This window comes from Homo sapiens, chromosome 11 (assembly GCF_000001405.40).
Source record: "Homo sapiens chromosome 11, GRCh38.p14 Primary Assembly".
NCBI classification, from domain to species: Eukaryota; Metazoa; Chordata; class Mammalia; order Primates; family Hominidae; genus Homo; species Homo sapiens.
Window position 1 is genome coordinate 107,560,201 of NC_000011.10, and position 24,098 is coordinate 107,584,298.

Here is a 24,098-nt window from a genome sequence, read left to right on the forward strand (position 1 = left end):
CACATTTATCATCTCATTTAATTATTGTCCGCAGATAATGAAAAGACTTTGTTAATAAGGTCTAATAAAATAAAAATGTTTAACAGCACATAATCAAAATACTTTATAAAACAGGTTAAGGTTGGGAAGAGAAGAACAAGGGCTGTAGTAGGATATGGAAGATCTAGCTTTAAGTTTCTATTAGCTACTTACTAGCTTATATCAATGGAGACATATCATAACCTCTCAGAACTTTAGTTTTCTCACCTATCTCATAAGGACTTCTAGGGAATTAAATATAATAATGAATATAAGTATGCTTAGGAAACTGAGAAACTTGCACAGTATTATTATTAATATATAACTACAACCTCTTCTAGTTCAAACAACAAAATAAATAGAAATGCAAACTATAGGCTATGGACCAAAATAGAAAGTTAGCAGTTCATATCATATGTACCTCTAATATGGATGTAACACATGACTGAACAATTACAGCCTTAGGCAATTATTAGCAAATATTAATATAATACATTAACATGTCAGTACATTTACATTCTAATAATAATAGTAGTTTTAGGTCACCTGAGTGGCATAGGATACTGTCTCAATGCCTTCATGTCTCAGCAAAGTATGCTTGGCTTTAATCTGTTTCCTTAAGAACTTCTTCTCAGTTTTACTGAGTTTGTAATTACTTTGATGGTTGCTGTCCATAGCAAACTGTAAAAAAACAAGACAGTAAAAAAGTCAACCTTAAGAGTCCTGAAGGAACAATTATAATGATGTTATTCATACATTCTATAGTTTATCAATATTTCTGTGACAATTTTTTAAAAATGCTTCATTTACCTTGTACCAACTAAGAGAAGTGAGAACAGATAAATAAAAAATGAACAAATATCTAAGAATATCTAATAGCATAGCTCTGATGGTTCTAAAAAATGTTCCAATGTGGTAGCTCCATTAAGTGTGCTATTTTACTCATAGGTGATGAATTCTTTACTTATGAGGTCCTAAGTAAAATGTGCCATACACAAATTTCACAACTATAACGTAAACCAAGGCAAGGAGCAGGCAGGGGAGCGGTGGGGGGAGAAATAACACACAAAAAATTAGCAGACTCTACAGTATGATTCCATTTACATAAAGGTCATAATCAAAAAGTAAGCCATATATTATTTAGAAATACATACATAGCAGTGCCAAAAAAAAAAGCAAGGAAATTATAAACACAAAATTCAGGAGAGAGGCTATTTCTGTGGGTGAAAGGAAAGGAAATTAACATGAAAGTGACACATAGGAGCATCAAAGGGTGTTTCTTCAGTTACATGGTAGGTGTAGGTGTTTGTTTTACTATTTTAAAAACTGTATGTGTCATATATTTTATATCTACAATTTTTTAAATAACAGAATCCCAAAGAGGTCTCTATAATCACACCATCCAAATCAGCACCCAATATCATGCTTTATCACACTTTATCACAGTAGTCTTTTATTTTGTTCACAAAATGTAACATAATTTGTGATGATTCATCTGTTAGCTTAACTCCTCCATCATGATATAAATCCCAAGAGAGCAGGAATGCCAGCACATAGTAGTTGCTCAATAAATATTTGATGGTAGGGCTAAATGAATAATAAATGAGTGAATACACACAGTCTCAGCACCCTGCAGCATGCAACCATAATAAAGTACATAGTTTATGCTTTCAACAAGTTTGTAACTTAGTTGTGGAAAACAAACACTAAACAATAAGACTATGACACATCTTTATATAATTTAATGCTGATGGTACAGTCTTTAGGTATGACACAAATTAGAGACAAAAATAAGATGGATGTGGGCTGGGAGCAGTGACTCACACCTGTAATCTTTAGGAGGCCAAGGCAGGCAGATCACTTGAGGTCAGGAGTTCAAGACCAGCCTGGTCAACATGGTGAAACTCTGTCTCTACTAAAAGTACAAAAAATTAGCCACGTGTGGTGGTGGGCACCTGTAGTCCCAACTACTTGGGAGGCTGAGGCACGAGAATCGCTTGAACCCGGGAGGCAGAGGTTGCAGTGAGCCAAGATCATGCTACTACACTCCAGCCTGGCAACAGAGTGAAATTCCATCTCAAAAAAAAAAAAAAAGTATGTAAACTGGAAAAGTTGGGAAGGCCTCAAAACAGGAGATTTGTGCCATGTACTGAAGGATAAGAACACTATAGAATCAAATAAAAAGGAAAGTATTCAGTGAGGCAGTAAAGAGCAGAAGCTAAAACCAAAATGGACATGTTTGGCCAAGACACCAAGACACAGGCATAATTTTTTTAGACCGGTCCCACTCTCTGCGGACTTTAAAGTCTTCAAAGTCAACCAAATATACAAATTTGGGGGTTAAATAAAATCTTATTTATCTTATTTCACATGAAATCATAAACAGTCAAAATTCTAATTACTAATCTTTAGTATAGAAGACAAATGCCAAGTCTCTTAAAATGCCAGCAGTCCAGCTTCCTAGCACAGGGGGTACATACTAGGATGTAAGGCCAGTGAGGCAGGCAGGCTGGCTGGCAGCATAGCAGAGAGATGAGAGGTAAAAAAAATAATAATAATAATCCAGCTTGTTAATTAGAAATGCTGGCCTGATCTAGGCTGGGGGCAACAGAAAGAAGCGAAATAGGGGGAGAGGAGAAAGAGGAAGGGTGAGTGAAAAGTTCAGGCGGAATCAAGAGGCCTCGATGACTACCCAGATATGAGGGAGACAGGAATCAAAGATTACTTGTTAACCAGTTAGAGGCTGAGTGACTAAGAGATGAGTGCTACCACTTCAAAACTGGAAAGTCAGGAGGAGGTTCAGGAAGAGCTGCTCAGTATAGGAGGTAATGAGTCATATTTAGGATAGAATAATGTTTAAGGTATTGTGAGATACAGAGTTGCAATGTCTGGCTGGCAAGTGACAAAATAAAGTGGCTCCTAGGAAAGGAACTGAGGTTAAAAAGGTTTAGGAGTCAGTCGTCATTAAGACAGGAAGGGGATAAGTGAATGGACATGTCTAACATTGCATTAATTATAATTATTTGTTTTAGTATCTGTCCCCTTCCACTGAACTGTGAGCTTTCTGAAGGCGGGATTAAATCACACTTTTCTTAGTTACCACAGAGCCTCATTCAGTGCTATGAGGTAATATAATACAGTGTTTAGGAGTCCATGTTCCAGGTTCAAATCTCAGCTCAACCACTGATTATTAGCTGTATAATCCTAGATGAGTTGGTTATATAGCTCTGTGTTCCAGTTTCTTTATCTAGGAATAGGGATAAAAATAATAGTGCCTATCCCATAGCTTTCTTAGAATTAAATTTATTTATTATTATTTATTTATTACTGTTGATTTTCAGAAGCAGCAGATCAAAATGGCTTAACAAAACAAAGAATATCTGAGGCCCTTCAAAGGAGCTATTTTAGAGCCATTCCATTTCAAGATCTTCATCTGTGGAACAGCAACTTTGCAGTATGTCATGGAGAACAAGGGATGACTGCACTACAGAATTTTTAATATTTCACATGAGCAAACACTGCAAAGAAGGAATGAGAAAGAAACGATGCTAAATATATCTTTTTAAAATGTCTGCCACTAAGAGTCCAGCACCAGCAGGTGGAGCCTCATAACCACATTTTTGTCATCCCTTTCCTTTTTCTCTCCCTCAGTCATGCAATATTATTGCACGTGAAGAAAGACACTAAATGGCCTTTGAGGCTCAGTTTTCCACCATTCCAGTGGCTAGGCAATGTGCTGGCCCAACATATCTGAGTCATCTCAACAAGGATAGGCTGATACCAGCTGCTGAGGTCTGGAGGTGCCCCCTTCTGACAAAGCCACTTCCCTGGCCAGAGTTTCCACTAATGCACAGATACTTGGATGCTCCCTGTGACATTACTGGAGTGAAGTCACTATTAACTATGATACTAGCCATGCTGAGTCCGGTTCAGCCAGCTCCAGCCTAAGCGTACTCTCTGTGGGATAATGAAAGTTTGGAGATTATGCATGCTCTGCTACTTGCTTGTTAGTGAGTTTAAAGCCAATATATCCTACTAGATATTGCCCTACGTGGTAATAGTAGTATGTACATCATGCCCTCCTTGAATAATAGAGAGCCTATTATGAAACAAGCAGTATAGACAAATGTTCCTATACTTATATGTTTAAAAAAATGCAAAAACCATGATTACTTTTGCACAACCTAATAATTAATAGCAAAGATTAGAAAGAATCTAACTTCCTATCAAACGAGGCCCAATTTTAACGTACGGCACTGGTATACAGAGTTTACATATAAATCTTTAGGACACACAAGAAATTGGTGATATGGGTTGCCTCCAGGGAAGGAAAATGGATCGATGAGTAAAGGAATGAAAGGGAGCTTTCTTCTTTCATGACTTTTGAAGTTAGTAGCTATTTAAACTGCATCATCTATTTAAAAAGAAAATAAAGATTTAAAATTTTTAGAAAAAAATTCACCCCATCACTTGTCACGGCACCCCGTTTTAACTCTTTGAATAACACTTACTACATATTTTCTTACACTCTCATTAATTTGTTTATTCTGTCTTTCCCCATAACTGAATAAAGAACACTCACTCCATGAAGTAGAGATTTTGTCTCTATTGTTCACCCTGTAGCACCCAGCACTTAAACAGGATTTAGCACCTAGCAGCCACTCAATAACCATTTGTCGAATAAACCTAAATCGACTTTGCTGTCTTACCTCCTAAACCTCCCCTCCTCCAGAATTCTGAGTTTGGTGGCCTTCTTCAACGTTTTCATTAACACCTAGCATGGACCTCTATCTCTAGAGTTCTCACATGGTATTATAATTGCCTGTTTGTGTTGGGCTTCGGCCAGAAAACTGTCATCTATTTAAGGGCACAGACTTGGTGCCTGACATACAACTGACAATAAATATTCAATGAAATCTATCAAAATAACAGGCTGACGCTACCAGAGGTCCAGGAGTCGCAGGGATTGCTCAAATAAGAGCACAGGAAGACTCAGCTGCGCAAGGGATCAGATCATCAGCACTGCCTTTGCATCGATGCAATCAGACCGATTGTCACCGGTCAGAAAAGCCCCAGAAGCGCCACACTAACACGCCCCATGTTGCAACCGTCCTCTCCAACCCCAAAGAAAACAGAAGATTGACACAGGCACCACGTGAGCGCCCGAACCAAACACAAACACATGCACCCTAAACACTGAGAGAACCACCCAACGCAGACACCCTACTGCCCACACTGCACCAAGGGCGCCTCTGGGATCCATCCCCTTTCCCTAGGTTCTCAGCCCTAGCTGGCAAGGCGGATAGAGAAGACCGGAAGAGGCTGAAAAGAGGAAGCGGTGATTTGCTGCCCGTATGCCCGCCAGTAAGAAGTGCCACACACCTCCGCTTCGGCTCAGGCCGGATTCTCACCATGCGTGTGCCTTCTTCTTTGCCAGCCTCTCCACTCTAGCACCAGAACACCGCAGCGGATACTTGCACGCCATCTCCCCTGGGCGCGGCCATGTTGGAGAAAACTGCACTACATTTCCCATGAGCCCGCGGGACAACGAACAGCGCTCCCACAGTCCTCTTCGCCTCCCAGAGCCCGGGAGTGACCCTTTTTCGACCAAGTGTCTTTGTAAAGTGCTGTCTGTTACACTGAAAATTCAGTTGTCTTTTTGGGGGGAGTAGTAATAATTGGTAGTGCAGCTATATTTTTATCTGTTGCTCTCCAAATGGACAAGGTCAAACAGGTTTGGGCCCTTTGGTCTTTCAGCAATGTCCCCTGGCACCTTCTATTCTTCGTGCATATTTCCTCCTGAATCTTATTAGAGGTGAGAAAGGAAAATAAATCTTGGTGCCACAAAATCACTAAGCTAAAGGGAAAAGTCAAGCTAGGAACTGCTTGGGCAAACCTGCCTCCCATTCTATTCAAAGTCATCCCTCTGAGTCATCCCTCTGCTCACTGAGATAAATGCATATCTGATTGCCTCCTTTGGAAAGGCTCATCAGAAACTCAAAAGAATGCAACCATTTGTCTCTCAGCTGTAATACGTGCGACCTGGAAGCCCCCTCCTCACTTTGAGTTGGCCCGCCTCTGCTTCAATTTGTCCCTCCTTTCTGGACGGAACCAATGTTCATCTTACATATATTGATTGATGCCTCATGTCTCCCTAAAATGTATAAAACCAAGCTGTGCCCCGACCACCCTGGACACATATCATCAGGACCTCCTGAGGCTGTGTCACGGGCGGGCGTCCTTAACTTTGGCAAAATAAATTTCCTAAATTGTCTGAGACCTGTCTCAGATATTCAGGGTTCACAGAGATATGGGAGAGGATCCTGGGGTCTGAAAGATGGCATTGCATGGGCGGGAGGGAAGGAAGTGAATATGCATGAATGTGCCAGGGGAATGGTGAGTACCACAGAGTAATAGAAAGATGTGTGGAAGAATGGTGAAGGAAGCAAGACAGAATTCTGTAGGCCTGCAGAGTGGGAGTTGCAGGGAGGAAGGTTAGAGAAATGAAATGATATGACCAGAGCTTCTTGTGGCAAGTGGGAGGAGAGACTAGAAGATGACTGATGAAGTGAAAAGTAACGAAATATTAACAAGCCCAGTAGTGGCAGAGGGAAAGAAAAAAGAGCTGGTAACAGATCATAAGTAAAAGACAAAGGAGAGGGTGATGATTAGCAGTTGTTCCTGCTCTGTTATTTGTTATATAAATGTACCATAATCCTTCTACCTGCATTGGTTTATGAGCTATGTGAGTGCAGGGAGGGAAAGGTGTAGGGGAAGAGGAATCACCTTCCCATGTTGTTGATACAATGGCCCCTATCTGCAGTGCACCACAGTGGACTAACAATAAAATAGCTGGCTGACCAGGAAAAGTGGCAGTGAAAAAAGAGTGCTGTTGAGTGGCGGAATGATTTGTGTGGAGAATAGGTTACAAACATGAAAGAACAGAAGAGGCAGATAGGCAAGCATTGCAATAGTCTAGGAAAGAAAGGGTGAGACCAAAACTTAATAGTAAAAATGAGGAGGCAAGTGCAAGCTGGAGAGGTCAAATCCACCAGACATTGCAAGCTACATGAGTATAAGAGGACACACAGGAAATCTCCCCATTGCAATTCTGCTTCTGCACTACTGGATGCTTTCAAAAACACATCCCCATAGAGCTTTCTGCAATGATGGAAATATTTTATAGTTTGAGCTGTCCAACATAATAGACACTAGTTAACGTGTGGCTTATGAGCATTTCAAATGTGGCTAGTATGACTAAGGAAATGAATTTTGAATGTTTAAATTTTAGTTTCAATTAAACTTAAGTAGCCACAAGTGGCCGGTGTCTACCAAACTGGATAACAGTGTAAAATATCCTCTTATCTCTTACTGATCAAATTCAATTACTTCATCTCAGTATTTGTCCTGCTTTAAGGTGCTGAAGCTTTTAAAACTTTTTTTCTGCACCTCTCTTTTAATTCTCTTTATACGATCTGATCACTTACTTTCAGAATTTTCCACTAGTTTCTCTCACTCTGTCCGTAATTAAATATAGGCAATCCCTCAGATTTTGAGTTTGACTCTTTTCTGTTATTCTAGTCTCTTCCTGTCTGCCCTCCCCAGAGTTATAAAGAGATTTGTGAATCATTCCCTAATCTTTATCTTCAGCCCTGGCTTCTATTAAAAGAAAAACTTTAGCCAAATTAAATTTAAAGGAGTTTAATTGAGCAATGAACTTTTGATTCGTAAATCGGGCAGCCCCCAGAATCACAGCAGATTTGGAGAGACTCCAGCACAGCCATGTGGTGGAGGATTTGTAGACAAAAAAAAAAAAAGGAAATGATGTACAGAAATCAGAAGTGAGGTGCAGAAACAGCTGTTATTGGTTACAGGTTGGTGTTTGCCTTATTTGAACACTGTTCAAACAATTGGCTACATTTGATTGGCCAAAACTCAGCGATTGGCACAGGTGTGGGCTATGGTTGGTTTACTCCTCCACTTGTTCACGATGTACAGAAAAACCTTTAGGCTGAACTTAAATATGTAAGGAGGCAGCTTTAGGCTAAACTTGATTAACACTTCCCTTTAGAAACCAGAGTGGTTTCTAAAGAATATGGGGGCATTGGAGTATGACCTGAAATCAAAACTACAAAACAGCATTTATTTTGTTGAGATTTACGTGATAATTAATAAAACACCAAACAGAGATTAGCTGTTAAGTGATTATTCATTTATCTTCTTCTCCTGAGTTACAAGCCTTCATTTCCCATTATCTGCTGCCCATCCATGTCTCAATATCTCCAGAAAAAGGTGAATACATATACAATTTTGTGTGACATCCTTTGTATACAGACCCTTATCTTTTCTTGGAATATTGCATAGACCATTTCTTCTAAGGAAGATGATTCCCCAAAAGATTTTCAGGTACACTGAGACCTTGTTTTATTTATTATGTAACCACAATGTCTTCCATAGTCTTGTAATACTAGAAATTTAATAAATGTTGAGCTGAAAAGGAATTTTTATTTGAAGATATAATTCATCTTCACCTGTGCCAAACACTTTACATGGTGATCTATAATAATTTTTCAAAAGTATGAAATGCTGACCTGTTTCCTTAGTAAAACCTTAGTCTCAACTTCATGAGAGGTGAGTCCTCTATGTGACTAGTAGTGGGGTCAGCAAGATTTTACTGTAAAGGACCAGATAATAAATATTTTCAGCTTTGTGGCCAAATATTCTTTGTTTTTATTTTTTTACTTTTATTTTTTGGGATGGAGTCGCACTCTGTCGCCCAGGCTGGAGTGCAGTGGCACAATCTCAGCTCACTTCAACCTCTGCCCCCTGGATTCAAGCGATTCTTCTGCCTCAGCCTCCTGAGTAGATGGGATTACAGGCACGCGCCACCATGCCCAGCTAATTTTTTGTTTTTTGTTTTTTATTTTTTTATTTTTATTTTTATTTTTTTTTGAGACGGAGTCGCTCTGTTGCCCAGGCTGGAGTGCAGTGGTGCGATCTCGGCTCACTGCAAGCTCTGTCTCCCAGGTTCACGCCATTCTCCTTCCTCGACCTCCAGAGTAGCTGGGAGTACAGGCGCCCGCCACCACGCCCAGCTAATTTTTCGTATTTTTAATAGAGACAGGGTTTCACCATGTTGGCCAGACTGGTGTTGAACTCCTCACCTCAAGTGATCCACCCACCTTGGCCTTCCAAAGTGCTGGGATTACAGGCGTGAGCCACCGTAGCCAGCCTGTTTTTATTTTTTAACAACCCTTTAAAAATCCTTTAAAAAAAGAACCTTTCTCAGCTCCCCTGGCTTATGCTGGCAGGATTTGGCCAGTGGGCTATAGTTTTCCACCCTCTGGACCTTCCCTGAATTGAGAGCACCATCTCAAAGTACAGGTAAGATCAGCCCACCAATTAACACATTTATTATGAATTATAATAGAATATAAGTGAAATATAAGTGAATTTAATCAGATTAACCAACACTGCATTTTAAAGTATTGAAAAATAAAGTTCCAGAAATTAAGGCTAGGAGTAACATATTGAAAGGGGATAACTTCCCTTGTCCCCCTCGCAAGGCGTGCAGCGGGGGAGTGATTCGCTTCTTCAGTGCCCTGCTGCTCCAACCTCTAGGGGAGCATGCAGACGGGCAGGCTGTGGGGCTCTGACCCCATGGCAGTGTCTAGGGGTGAATGTTTACACCTACTGAAGCCCCAGTGGGCGTGTGTTACAGGGTGTTCTTATAGCTTAGCTGGCCATTAGGTGGCTTGTGTTAGTCAGCTCAATTAGACCCCCTTCCTTATCACGTGGACGGAGGGCTTTCTGTATCCCAGGGTTTCTTGCCTTGGTGTACCAGAAGAATCAGATCACACTGGGCTTGGAGAATGAGTGCAAGGTTTTATTGAGTGGGAGTAGCTCTCAGCAGATGGGGGAGCCAGAGGGAGATGGTTTTCCCCTGGAGTTGGGCGCTCAGTGGCTCAGGCTCTCCTCCAGCCGCCGTGGCCAAACTCTGCATAGTTCTGCCCGTTGAAGGCCTGCCGACCTGCCTGTGTCTGCTGCCTGTGTCTGTTGGTGTGCCCTTCCGCCGGTGTGCTCCCCTGGACGTCCTCTGGACGTCCAGCCGCTTGTGTGTCTGCCTGCTAGGGTCTCGGGGTTTTTATAGACACAGGATGGCATGCCAGGGTGGTCTTGGGAAATGCAACATTTGGATGCGAAGGCAGGAGTGCATTCCCTGGGCACAGGCCTGGGGGTGGAACCCTCGCCAGGGACCCGCCCTTCTCCTCCCAGCATTTCCCTGCCTCCCTTCCATATCAATGTCATTTAGAATTGCTTTTAGTTGCCAGTAACAGAAAACTGGGCTGATTGCTTAAACAAATAGTTGTCTTTCCTCAAATGACAAGCCAGCCAGACAAGGCAATCACTGGTACTGTTTCTGCTGCTGAAAAATGCCCTCTGTTCTTCTGCTCTGCCATCCTTGATGTATTGACTTGTTATCTTCATTCCTGATGTCTCCTGGTTACAAAGTAGCTGCTACAGTTCCAGACATCTTGTCCCCATACTGGCATCTCTAATTGAAAAAAAAAAAAAAAAAAGCAGTTTCTCAGTCTTTTCATCCAGGAAATACAGCTCCCAATGGACTTCTCTCTTTTTTTTTTTTTTTTTTAAAGCACACATGAGTTTCATACTATAGTAGGCAGGATAATGGGCCCCCAAAAACTTTCACACTCTAATCTCTGGAATTTATGAATATATGGGTGTAGTTAGGTTTGCAGACTTTAAAATAGATTATCCTAGTTTTGCCAAGGGCCCAGTCTAATCACACAATTCCTTAAAGGCAAAGCATTTACTCTAGCTATTCCAGCTAGAGAAGTCAGAGTGGTTCCAAGTGTGGATTCCAACACTAGCCAGCTCTGAGATGTAAGGGTCTATGTGCAAGGACATGGAGCAAGGCCTCTAATGAGCTAGGGGCCATCCCATCTGATAACCAACAAGGAAATGGGGACTTCATCCTGCACACACAGGAACTGTCTTCTGCCAACAACCTGAATACGTTTGGAAGCAGATCCTTCCAAGGGTATCTTGATAAGAGCCCAGCCAGTTGGCTTCTTGGGATTTTGTCTTTATGAAGTTCGGAGCAGAGAAGTCAACTGAACCAACCCAAACTTACAACCTACAGAACTGTGATATAATAAATTTGCGTTGCTGTGAACTGCTAAACTTGTGGTAATTTGTTACAGCAGCAATAGAAAACTATTACACACTCTCACCCCCATATCAAACAGTAGCTAAGGGAAGTAGAATTACCATGACTGCTATAAGGCCAATCATGATTCACTCTGTGGGGCTTGGATGAAGTGTGTCCTCCCTGAGATCAAGAGACCTTGACAGACTATGGGCAGGGAATGAGGGGAATAGGTTTCTATTAGCAAGAAAAAGGGGAGACAATCATTGGGTAGACCACTAACAGTGTGTCCCATAAGGGATGGAGCACTTATTTTTGGCCAGATTGTCACATTACGAGCTCTCCCCAAACCTATGAGAAAAGGATGCTAAAAGAATGGCCACTCTTCAATTAGCCAGACATGGTGGCATGCACCTATAGTCCTAGCTACTCAAGAGGCTAACATGGGAGGATCACTTGAGCCCAAGAATTCAAGGTGACAGTGAGCTATGATTGCACCACTGAACTCCAGCCTGGACGACAGAGTAATGAGCACTCTCATCAGCTAATAAAGCATCCAAAACTAGAATTCTTACAGCTATTGTATTCTAGTTCAAGAGTCTTCAATCAGAAAAAAATTGAAAATGGCCCCAATAGTCCTTGAAAATTGTTACATTTTTACTGTAGTTCCAAACTATGAAACTGTTTGACTGCAGTTTCAAACTCAATTCCTATGGTTATGAGGTTTCTAACCTCGCCCTTCTCCCTACAGCCCCTTTCCCCACCATCTGTTTCTGGCTACTTTCTAGTTTTTCTTCCAGTTGTCCCCTGTGGCAACTGTACTAGTTTTGCTTGTTTTTCTATTTATGGTTTAAAAAAAAAAAGTTTTATTTCTCAGTCTTTCCTCTCATTTACTCTTCTGCTACTTATTTTATTCCTCCTGGAAAAATGACAAATTTGTATCAAGTTTTCTTTCCAAAGTTGTGTCTTCTCTGCTGCTTCCCTGGTTGCTGGCTTCTTGAAACTTCAGCAAGAATGCATTATGTAAAACCATTTGATGTTCACTGTGACATTTCAGGACTGAATACATTATTCACGCTATGGTGATAAAAATTCAATGAAAAGTTTGCAGTTTTATAAGTCATATGGTGAAAGTATTCCCTGTACAGTAATTAGAGGCAAAAGGTAACCAAGAAAAAAAACAGAGGAGAAGGAAAAGGGTCAGCCTTTAATTTATAATACAAAACATAAAACTCAGCTTGGAGAATTCATTTATTATTATTATTTTTTTTTTTTGGTCATTTGCAAAGCATACAATTTTAGCTACGAAGCATTAACCTCCCCCAAATGGTCTATTTATTCTTGAGGCTAAAGGCCTGCTTACTTTGCAGAATAATTTTCTTTTCTACACAGATTTTTTAAATAGATGAGAATAAAGAACTAGCAGGCAACTCAGGGTGCAGGAAAATCTTTGGGGTGGCTAGAGGTGTGGGATTTGTGGATTTTAAAAGGTTATGATAAAATAAAACAAAATCTTTTAAAAATGTTTCCCTTAAATGTAGAAGAAAAAAGTATATTTTAAAAATGTATAAACATTTCATTTAAAAATGTCTTGCCACATTGATGGCTTCATTCTATCATTAATTTCTCAAAGACACAAAGATATTTGCCCAGAGAGGGCAAGCTTCATTATTAACTATATTTGTGATCGCTTCTAGTTTGGGGAGTAGACTTCTTGTCAGATCTGATTAGATAGTCTCAGCTGTTAGGTTGGGACTGAGAGCTCATACTAGGAGCATTAATTTTGCTATTTTCTGTTGGTTATTTGTGCTTGAATTATTGTCTATATTCATCTTCACTGTAGGGAATTCAGAGTTTTCTAACCCACTTGTCCATTTTGCAAAAAATAGTTTTTGGATTACATAATCCAAAAATCCATTTATCAGGCACCACAAAAAAATAATGTCTCGCTTAAATCAAAAGAGGGAGGATGCCAGAGGCAGCTGTCCTGCCTGTGAGCTCTCACTCCTCTCCTCTTCTAGAGCACCTCTCATAAAGTCTGTGACATGTAACATCAGACATTCACACCTAATGAAGCTTCCAGGATATTAAATGTGAATAGAGATTAATTTGTTTTAGATAAACATATAAATGGAATTTCTAGAATATTCTTCTAAATCCCACAAGCCATACACACTTCACTTTAGAGGCCACTGCACTAGGGCATGTTCCTCAAAGGCTGGTTCTTAGACTACTTGCATCAGAATCACTGAAGTGCTTGGTTAAGTGGTCTCCAACCCCACTAGACATAACGAGTCAACTTAAAGCACATATAAATTTTAATTCTCTGAACACCAGTTGGTTACAGTGTGTGCTCCAAAATCTCTGGGGCCAGGGCCCAGTAACCTGCATGTTTAACAAGCAATTTTGCTACTTTTGCAAGTGTTCAACCACTGAGGAAAAAGATTGTATGTTATTTGTCAACATAGACCTCTTTAAAAATCATCCCCAGAGTGAGAAGCTGCCAGATTTCTAGTATATTTGGAATTCTCATTTCAAGGGAAGTATTTTAATTTTATAAGGTGCAAGGACCAAGAAGCAGATGATTCAAATTTCAGATTATTAAATTATTAAAGAATAATAGATTATGTTTTATAATTTGACAAAAGTTTTTAAAAAATTTTTAATAAAAAATAAAAACAACTCTTTTTGGCATCTCTTATATCCCATTTTACAAATGTAACAACTGAGACTTAAAGACAAAATGTATGAGCTGTTTAAATATAAATTTTTTTATTTTTATTTTTGTATTTTTTTGAGATGGAGTCTTGCTTTGTTGCCAGGCTGGAGTGCAGTGATGCAGTCTCGGCTCACTGCAACCTCTGCCTCCTGGGTTCAAGTGATTCTCCTGCCTCAGCCTCCCAAGTAGCTGGGACTACAGGCATGCGCCACCATGCCCAACTAATTTTTTTGTAATTTTTAGTAGAGATGGGTTTCACCATATTGGCCAGGATGGTCTTGATCTTCTGACTTCATGATCCGCCTGCTTTGGCCCCCCAAAGTGCTGGGATTTAAATATAAAATATTTTAAAGAGTGATTTACATCCATGTCTGTTATCGCATGAGTAAAAGAGCTAGCTTTTATTTTATTTTATTTTTTATTTTATTTTTTGAGACAAGAGTCTTGCTCTGTCACCCAGGCTGGAGTGCAGTGGCGCAATCTTGGTTCACTGCAACCTCAGCTTCCCAGGTTCAAGCAATTCTCCTGCCTCGGCCTCCTGAGTAGTTGTGATTACAGGTGCCTGCCACCACGCCTGGCTAATTTTTGTATTTTTAGTAGAGACGGGGTTTCACCGTGTTGGCCAGGCTGGTCCCGAACTCCTGGCCTCAAGTGATCCTCCCGCTTTGGCCTCCCAAAGTGCTGGGATTACAGGTGTGAGCCACCGTGCACGGCCTAGGGCCAACTTTTATACGTTAAAACATGTACCTCTTTACATCTACCTTTTATTACAAGCACAAAGTGCTTAACATACACTATTCCTGAATCCTTCAATAACCGTACAAGTTTTATTCTCCCAATTTTACAAATGAGCTCTGAGGCTCAGAGAGTTTAAGCAACTTTCCCAAGATTGACACAGTTAGTGATAAAGCCAGGAGTCTAACCCAAAGGTTTCCCCTTTACCAACTGCATGCATTATTGCTGAGGGACACCATTGCAGAAAAGACGTGTCCTTTTTTATATTTTGAAGTATTCCAAGTATAATGAGACAAAAATATAGACATAAAAAGGTGAAAAATGTTTTGTTAAAGTGGGTGCATCTGTTATGCAAACACATACAGGGTAGTTTACATAGTATAACTTTTAAAATCTTTAAGAATGATAGTGTATACAGAGTCTTAATTGAAAGTTTAGATGAGATAATATTTCTAAAGGACAAACAGCATTGTCTTGTTTTCTTCTCTTGCCCCTGCTTTCAAAGTCAGAAATAAGATTGAGTATCATTATTTTCTCACCTATTTAAAATATGGCTTAGGGGACCACGTGGTCAATGGAAAGTTAACCAGACCTAGAATTTACTTTTCAATATCTCTAGGAGGCCTGTTGACATAATCAGGATGAGGAATTAACAATTAATTAGCGTTGATTATGACCCTCTTCACGAAACAACACGTTGCTATGGGCTGAATGTTGGAGTCCTCCGCTCCCCCACAAAATTCATAAGCTTAAATTTAGTCCCCAGTGCAATAGTATTAAGAGGTGGGTCTGGCTGGGTGTGGTGGCTCACTCCTGTAATCCCAGCACTTTGGGAGGCTGAGGCGGGCCAATCACCTGAGATCAGGAGTTTGAGACCAGCCTTGCCAACATGGTGAAACCCTGTCTCTACTAAAAATACAAAAATTAGCCGGGCGTGGTGGCAGGCGCCTGTAGTCCCAGCTACTCGGGAGGCTGAGGCAGGAGAATCGCTTGAACCCGGGAGGCAGAGGTTGCAGTGAGCTGAGATTGCGCCATCACACTCCAGCCTGGGGGATAAGAGAGAGACTTTGTCTCAAAAAAAAAAAAAAAAAAAAAAAGGACGTGGGTCTTTTGGAAGCCATTAAGTCATGAGAGGTCCACCCTCATGAATGGGACTAGTACCCTTAAAAAGAAGAGAAAGAAGTGCGTTTGCTCCTTCTGTCATTCTGCCATGCAAAGATGTAGCAAGAAGGTGCCATCTATGAGGAACAGATCTTTACCAGATGCTGAATCTGCTTCTGCCCTGAGCTTTAACTTCCCAGTCTCCAGAACTGTTTCAAATACATTTCTGTTGCCTAGACTAGGTAATTTATAAGGCATTTTGTTATAATAGCAGGAATAGACTAAGAAACATATCTTATTCAGAAAAGCTTTGAAAAAATTACTTGAAACAAAAAGTTTAGTGAAGTTGAATGTTTGACCTGGTAATACAGGTGGACCATGATCTCATATTAGCAAATGTTTTTCATACCTATCATTATTATTTGGGGCTTGTGAGTTTCTGACTTATTTCTTATGTTATCCCTCATATTACACATACCTCCGTAGTTTTAAATGGTCTTTCAGGCCAATGAATATAAATAAATATTATGAGATGAGGTGAGGTGGTTAGCAGTGACTTCACATTAATTGGTTTTAATCAAACCCAAGGAAATTGGGGTGAGGTGAGGTGAGGTGGTTAGACAAGCCTTGGCAAAGAATTCAGGAAACAAAAAATTAGGGACAAATTGTTAAAGACAAAAATCTAGGACCCAAAGAAAATACAAATTCTTTTCAGTGTATCAGGCACCTTTGACCAGGAGGTGGCAGCAGTGGAAGCAAGAACGTCTAGAAACAAAGTATCCTGGGGCAAATACCAACACTATTGAAACCACTTTTGCAAAATTATAACTGAGGAAATGATGACAGTGAAAGAAATCAGATCTAACTGTCTCTGTCTTGCTTCTAACCTTTAAGCTGTCCTTGTTCATTCCTGGGCACAGGTCAAACTAACTTTGAGAAGGAATTCAGTTCATGGTTTGACTCTGAAACAAAATTGATAACAGCCCTTTCCCAAAAAGACCCCCTTCTTGCCTGGGGACCAGTCTGCCTTTGCTGGACTAACTTAGCTACAAGATTGAAAATTACAGTTTAGGGGTCATACAATCTCTGGTTCCAAGAGTCTGAACCTTCCCAAATTGCTCCTGGGGATAACATCACTATTATAAAACCTAAGATCAGTGCTTGAGATATTTTGCAGACCCTGCACTTGACGGATCAGCTGACACCACACAGACTGGTAATCTGGCTCAACCAGTTCTGCCATCACACACAGGAGCAGAAGACAGCAAGAAAAACTCACTTCAACCCCCTATGATTCCATCTCCACCCTGACCAATCAGCACTCCCCTCTTCCCAAGCCCTTACCCACCAAATTATCTTTAAAAACTCTGATCCCTGAATGCTCAGGGAGACTGATTTGAGTAGTAATAAAACTCTGGTCTCCGGCACAGCCGGCTCTGGTGAATTACTCTTTCTCCATTGCAATTCCCCTGTCTTGATAAATCGGCTCCGCCTAGGCAGAGGGAAAGGTGAACCCACTGGGCAGTTATACGGTCTCAAAAGCTCCTGAATCACCAAAGGCTTCTGGCTGATAAGGAGGCCTTTAGAAGGTGCCACTTCCCTGAAGTGATGCCAGGCTCCTCCCATTCAGCATCCAAAAGAGGAGTCCAAGTACCAAAGTCAAAGGTTAGGAGTTTTAAGTAGATGTTACTAAGCCTTAGTAACAAAGAATCTCTCAAAAGTCAGCGCAGTTGATATAAAAAAAAAAAATCAACAAGAATTAACAGAGACACCGAACCACCTTAATAACAATTGAAAGATGAACTAGGATTTAAGCCACAAGTCACAGAACAGAAAAAAAAGCAAATCTGACTGGGAACCAAAGTTGTTGATACAATGGCTAGTGCCAGTGGTCTAGGCTGGGCTTCTGGTTCACCCGTTACTAAGGCAGTGGTGGGAAGCAGACCACCAGGCCTCCAGGGAGGATGAGGGTCTGGGCTAGGAGGTGTTTGGACAATGGAAAACCATCAGGTATTTGGAGGGTAGTCCACTTTCCAGGGCTATACGAAGGTGTCTGTGGAGTGGTTAAAATCTAATGGTATTGTTCACAAATGTCCCCTTCCTTGCCAATTAGCTGTTTAAGTAAATAGTAATGAGGACTGAAACAGGGGTGTCAATGAGGCCCATGAATGATCTTCCCAGTATCTTGAAGATGTGGGAAAGACTTCATCACTGCAAGAGGGAGAGATACTGCAGTAAGAAGTTCACTTCTAATACAATGCCTTACAATCTGGGTTGTGCTTTTTTTTTTTTTTTTTTTTTTTTAAAGCATGGCTTGATCTCAAAACTATCTAGAACTGCCTGTAGTTCCTCTAGACAACTCTACACCAGGGATGGTGGTTGGAGCCCTAAGTACCTAGGAACAATGAAAGTGGAGAAATGAGGTCAAACTGTATTCATGGAAGAAAAAAGCTGAGATCTTTTGTTTGCTTTTCTAAACAAAAACACTTAGATTTGAGAGATCCATTTGCATTTCCTGAGGGAAAATGTGCTCCAGAAGCATTACTTCTATTAGCCATATTTTTGGGGTTTCATAAGCAGGGTTAAGACCAAAATGTATTGGGTTGTCCATCTAGGCCAGAGTCCAGGATCAAGTGAGACTCAGTCATCCTTCTTTTAAGTTATGGGAGATGGTGGTCAGCATGCAATACACAGCAGTGCCTCAGGGCAGCCCTGCTTGGTCCAGACAGTCCTCTTTTATATCAGGATCCAAGCTCATACTCTCCTGTTTGGGTCAGGTTTGGAACAAATGCTTAGCAGAGATGGTCCTGAGGTAGAGGATGACAGGCAAGCAACACCAGAGTACTCCAGTTCTATTTTTGATACAAATGAGACAAGAAAGCCTCCAAGGAAGTCTGATATATGGAAATTCCTGAAGGATTTGGGTTCCAGACTTTGATCACCTAGAAGGCCCTAAAGCCATGGAATACATGACGAGAACACCTTTTGCTCTCAAAACGCCGAAGTAGGGACTGGTCTCCAAACTGAAAGCCATAGAAGTAATAGCCTTCAAAGGACCTAGAAAAGCCACAGTCCATGGAAGTGACAGGCTTCAAAGGAAGGCCCAACTCTCAGGTGTACCAGGTTAGAGTTGGGCTATGCCAAACCCAATAAGAAATACTAAGAGAGGTGTGCACATTCAAGCAGCAAGTGCCTATAGGCAAATTTCCCATGCAGACCTGGAGACTGAAATTCCAAAACTCCAATCAGTATATCGAAGAGGTATCTGCACTCCCATGTTTGTTGCAGCATCATTTACAATAGCCAAGATTTGGAAGCAACCTAAGTGTCCATCAAGACATGAATGAACAAAGAAAATGTGGTACATATACACAATGGAGTACTACGCAGCCATAAAAAAGAATGAGATCCTGTCATTTGCAACAATATAGATGGAACTGGAGGTCATTATATTAAGTGAAATAAGTCAGGCACAGACAGACAAACATCACCTGTTCTCACTTATTTGTGGGAGCTAAAAATTACAACAATTGAATTCATGGAGTTACAGAGTAGAGGGAAGGGTAGTAGGGAGCAGGTGGTTAATGGGTACAAAAAATAGTTAGAAAGAATAAATAAAACCTAGCATTTGCTAGCACAACAGGGTGACTATAGTAAAAAAAAATTTTTTAAGTGTTTATTTTAAAATATAATAGTATATAATTGGATTGTTTGAAACATAAAGAATAAATGTTTGAGGTGATAGGTACCCTATTTACCGTGATATGATTTTGTCTCATTGCATGCTTGTGTCAAAATATGTCATGTAACCCATAAACACATACACCTACCATGTACCCACAAAAATTAAAAATAAAAAAAAAATCCTCCCACCTTAGCCTCCCGAGTAACTGGGACTATAGGTGTGCATCACCATGCCCAGCTAATCTTTTTTTTTTTTTTGTAGACACAGGATTTCCCTATGTTGCCCAGGCTGGCCTCAAACTCTGCTCAAGAGATCCTCCCCCCTCAGCCTTCCACAGTGCTGAGATTATAGGAACCAGTTCCGGCACCCAGCTGGCTCTTTCAACTATTTAACTTTTACATTATTATTCAGTATTCTGTAATCAGGCTATAAATTCTGTTTTTTTTTTTTTTTTTGAAATGGAGTCTCGCTCTGTTGCCCAGGCTCGAGTGCAGTGGTGTGATCTCAGCTCATTGCAACCTCCGCCTCCCAGGTTCAAGCAATTCCTCTGCCTCAGCTTCCCGAGTAGCTGGCATTACAGTTACGTGCCACCACATCCAGCTAATTTTTGTATTTTTTAGTAGAGACAGGGCTTCACCATATTGGTCAGGCTGGTCTCAAACTCCTGACCTCATGATCCGCCTGCCTCAGCCTCCCAAAGTGCTGGGATTACAGACGTGAGCCACTGCACCCAGCTAGAAATTCTTTGAAGGCCACTGTTGACCTTTGTATCCTATGCTGTAGCATCCAGGACCCAGTGCTGCACACAGGTGGTGCTCAATATGTATTTGTTGATTTATTCTGTGTGCTGGTTTAAAAGCAGAGTCATAGGACAGAGCACACTGCATGGGGGTGGAAGTCCTGTCACCTTCCCACATCTCAATTGCTTCTCTGTAAAATGGGGTAGTTGGACGAAACCATTGATTTTCAAACTGTGCTCCTTTGAGCCTTATTAGGGCTTCTTAGAGATGCCTCAGTAGCCACCAAGCACAGAGGAGTGGGGCACTGGCCTACCCCAAATTTATTGAGAGTGGATCTGCTTTTGTCAGTTTAACATTTTGGGGTTCACAGTAGAAAGTCATTTATAAGGGTTCAGTTGCTAAAATTTTTTTTTCTTTTTTTTTTTTTTGAGATGGAGTCTTGCGCTGTTGCCCAGGCTGGATACAGTGGTGTGATCTCATCTCACTGCAAGCTCCGCCTCCCAGGTTCATGCCATTCTCCTGCCTCAGCCTCCCGAGTAGCTGGGACCACAGGCGCCCGCCACCATGCCCGGCTAATTTTTGTATTTTTAGTAGAGACGGGGTTTCACTGTGTTAGCCAGGATGGTCTCGATCTCCTGACCTCATGATCTGCCCGCCTCGGCCTCCCAAAGTGCTGGGATTACAGGCGTGAGCTACTGCGCCCGGCCTAAAATTTTAAAATCTTACCTGAATTGATTATTTCAAAGGTCCCTTTGACTGTAACGTTTGATTTTGTTGTTTCATTGACATTTAAATGATAGTTGTCTTATCTGGTATTGGTCCATCCCATCTAAGAACTGTGCTTCCCAATACCCTCACCCTCCTCTGGGGACATCTCCCACTTTTGCATGGATGTTGTTTGTGTCTTAACTGCATTCCTCTTTTGTGCTCCTAATCTTAGTCATCTCAAACGTGTAACCTCCTCCCTTCCCTCCAACCTTCGTGTGAACTTAATTGGTGTCCTAATTGTTGGGAGAGCCACCTGGGACACCTCCCTTCCTTCACTCAGCTTGAATGCATTCCTGGTTCTTTCCGCATTTGCTCTCCATTGCATTCTTACCTTGTGCTTCTTAGTATTTCTCTTTTGCCTGGCATAGTATTTGGCTCCTCCAACCCAAACTCCAGCCCTGGCCCATGATCACTAAAAAGGATTCCCATGAACACTAAAAAAATTTTGTAGGTGATGTCTATAGACTAACAGCCTAACTAATGGAGAAGAAAAAAGGACAAAAAAAGAAAAGATAAAAGGAGATAAGGAAAGCAAGAGGAACAAAAGAAAGTGTGTGTTTCTTGGCATGGGTGATATGCACTCTTCCTCACTCCTTCTCCAAAATATATCCCAATTTCCGCTATGTATGAGGCTGCTTATGACTAACAATCTAGTAAAGGACAAAAACAGAATAAAACTTGCACTCTCCATTCCTTCTCATCAAGTAGCAGTCAACTGGTATGATTTTGAGAGATAATATCACACGAAGTTTAAGTGTGGGCTCTCGGTTAGACTGCCTGGAATCTTGCAGCCACTGTCATTGCTAGCTTTGTGACCTTGACCTTGTTATGCCTCAGGTTCTTCATCTGTAGGAAAAGTGGGGGTAATAATATTTTAAGGTCATTATGAGGATGAAATTAGATAATATGGGTACAGTGTTCTGAGTAAGACCTGGCACAAAGTAAGGCACTATACGTGTTGGCTGTTATTCTGAAAAAAAAAAAAAAAAAAAAGGTTTGCTTTAAGTCTCTTCCTCCATCCTTGAGCGCAACATCATGTTCCCCTGCAAATGAACTGGCCCAGTCCCGTTTGGCCTTACCATGCCTGTCACAGCCTAATAAATGTTGATGGTAAAGGATGGCAAGCTTTGGGGCACTCGATGCTCTTGCTTCTCTCTGTGGAGAGCCTATTAAGTGCTCTGACTATTGTGCTAGTAATGCACTAATTTCAGTTAGTTAAAGAAAGGAACTAACCACATTGTAGTCTATTCACAACAGGCCTGTTTAGAAGATTCAGCCTGGGGCAACATATATGTTTTATTATTTTATTGCAAGAATATAATAAAATAGGAAACAAATGAACTTCAATTTTTGCTTTTACTTGGCTTGTCTGCTAAGTGTGTGGTTCTTAATCAGCTATGTGCATTAGAATCACCTGGGGAAGTTTTCAAAACCCATACAGGTATGGGCCCCATTCCCCAAGGATTCTGATTCACAAGGCCTAGGTGATGTTCTGGCATGTTTATTTGGAAAACATTTACCCAAGGGATTCTGAGACAGAACTACTCTTCCAAGTATTTCTGGACCCTTTCTTCCCTTTCAGCAAAAACCAGCTTCAACTAGAAGGTAAAGACCATCTACAGGTTTGACAGCATCCACATAACGAGATGTGCTAGAAATTTTCTACCAAATTCTCCACTCACGGAAGAAAATATCTTTAGTTCATGTCCCCAATATTCCATGGAATTATGAATTATGTTTCATTAAGATTGAGCTACTAGCCGCTCTTTAGTGAATTTTTCTGCCATTTTTATGAGAACAACAACAACAACAAAAGCCTTTGCGGGTAATTTTGCAACTTACTTCTCTCACTTGAAGCTGACTCTGCACTGGGATGTTGAGAGTGTGATGGCATTTGTTGTAATTTCTGTTTTTCTCTTGGGTGTTCGTCCTCCTCCTTTCTTATTTTAGGATACCTGTCTACTTTCACATATGAGAGACTCGAGTAACTCAGAACTTTGATCTAGAGATAAGAGTGAAATAGGGAACAGGAAAAATATAATTGAATTCTATTTAACTAAAGCACAATTCTTATTTTCATAAAAGGATAGACATTATAAGTAAAAAAAAAAAAGGCAAATTTGTTCACCTACTGGTGCCTCCTGAGCCTCCAAATTTCTCCCTATTATCACTGGCTGCTTCTCTGCCATTAAAAATTACTGATAATTCTACCATCTACGGTAGTGCCTTCTATACTGGCGCTAAAGAAATACCAGATAAAGTGATCTGACAAGTAAAAAAGGGACTTTAAAAGGGGACTTTATTTCTCTGTACATTCAACAAAATCTCTTATCTCCTTTATTCCGAAGACCATAGAAAACAATCAAGTCAGAGGCTTGTGGGAGCCCCCTATGTCATTTTCATTGAGTTAATATGTAAAGTGCTTAGGATAGTGCCTGGCACATAGTAAGAGCATGTATGTTAGTTATTTTTATCCCTTTTTATTACCTTCAGGTAATTTTATTATTATATTTGGGCTACAACCAATTTTTAGGACCTAAACATGTGTAATCTCTCTAGATATGTGTCTTATTTATAGTAGGCACTCAAGAAATCTTATTGAATTGAAGTAAAGGAAGTTAATCCTGGTGAAGTCATAAATAACGTTTTCGAGTTTCAGAGATGCTTCATAGAAGAAATGCCCTTTCGAGAGTAAAAAAGCAAAGAACAGGTGTTCTAAACACAGCTGTTATGTGGAATTTCAAGAGCTGAAAAGTCAAAACTTTCATGGGCACATTGCTCCAGGCTGCTCTATATTGTGATTAGTACACTTCAATACATGATGCCATGAAATGTAAAGCCACAGACTTTTATGTGACCTACATACTTGTACTGCATGAGTAACAGGGCACTGTCATGATGTGTCACTGAGCTAAGAGTAGGCATGCTCCTTGGTGGAATATTTTTATTGTGTGTAGGAAATTCTGGGACATACTAAAGAAAAATGGATCATAAACACTCCTTCCAATGGGCTCCCATCAGAAAGCTGTTCATATCTCTAGTCCACCATGTACTTCTTTGCATTGTTTATCTGCTTCCATCACTTTCTTCTACTACCAAGCTGTGAGCTTCTTGAAGGCAGTCTCCACATTATTTATCTTCATATCTCCAGTGCTCACCAGA

The 24,098-nt window shown here is 40.7% G+C and overlaps 1 protein-coding gene across 11 annotated transcripts in view, besides 6 other annotated features; it reads right to left on the bottom strand.

The window, feature by feature from the left end:
- ALKBH8 (alkB homolog 8, tRNA methyltransferase) overlaps nt 1-5,535 on the bottom strand; it is a 63,009-nt gene extending 57,474 nt beyond the window's left edge. For 7 of the 11 annotated variants that reach the window (NR_165424.1, NR_165425.1, NR_165421.1 and 4 more), the window contains exons 1-2: nt 5,401-5,535; nt 565-699 (exon numbers count right to left, since the gene is read on the bottom strand). Coding sequence is in view for 5 of the 11 variants with exons in the window: in NM_001378133.1 (NP_001365062.1) it covers nt 565-693 (129 nt within the window). In the remaining 6 variants the exon portion in view is untranslated. The remainder of the gene's footprint in view (nt 1-564; nt 700-5,400) is intronic. The other 4 variants (NR_165422.1, NM_001301010.3, XM_047427871.1 and 1 more) reach the window with 1 other exon arrangement.
- Nucleotides 4,886-5,404: an enhancer, noted in NCBI's record as "H3K27ac hESC enhancer chr11:107435812-107436330 (GRCh37/hg19 assembly coordinates)". NCBI's record gives its function as "activates a minimal SCP1, AML or CMV promoter by ChIP-STARR-seq in naive H9 embryonic stem cells {active_cell/tissue: H9 hESC(naive)}" and the evidence as "EXISTENCE:reporter gene assay evidence [ECO:0000049][PMID:30033119]".
- Nucleotides 4,886-5,921: a biological region, named in NCBI's record as "H3K27ac hESC enhancers GRCh37_chr11:107435812-107436330 and GRCh37_chr11:107436331-107436847".
- Nucleotides 5,208-5,697: an enhancer, noted in NCBI's record as "active region_5469". NCBI's record gives its function as "activates an Ori minimal core promoter by ATAC-STARR-seq in GM12878 lymphoblastoid cells {active_cell/tissue: GM12878}" and the evidence as "EXISTENCE:reporter gene assay evidence [ECO:0000049][PMID:35858748]".
- Nucleotides 5,405-5,921: an enhancer, noted in NCBI's record as "H3K27ac hESC enhancer chr11:107436331-107436847 (GRCh37/hg19 assembly coordinates)". NCBI's record gives its function as "activates a minimal SCP1, AML or CMV promoter by ChIP-STARR-seq in naive H9 embryonic stem cells {active_cell/tissue: H9 hESC(naive)}" and the evidence as "EXISTENCE:reporter gene assay evidence [ECO:0000049][PMID:30033119]".
- Nucleotides 5,768-5,827: an enhancer, noted in NCBI's record as "active region_5470". NCBI's record gives its function as "activates an Ori minimal core promoter by ATAC-STARR-seq in GM12878 lymphoblastoid cells {active_cell/tissue: GM12878}" and the evidence as "EXISTENCE:reporter gene assay evidence [ECO:0000049][PMID:35858748]".
- Nucleotides 7,756-7,835: an enhancer, noted in NCBI's record as "active region_5471". NCBI's record gives its function as "activates an Ori minimal core promoter by ATAC-STARR-seq in GM12878 lymphoblastoid cells {active_cell/tissue: GM12878}" and the evidence as "EXISTENCE:reporter gene assay evidence [ECO:0000049][PMID:35858748]".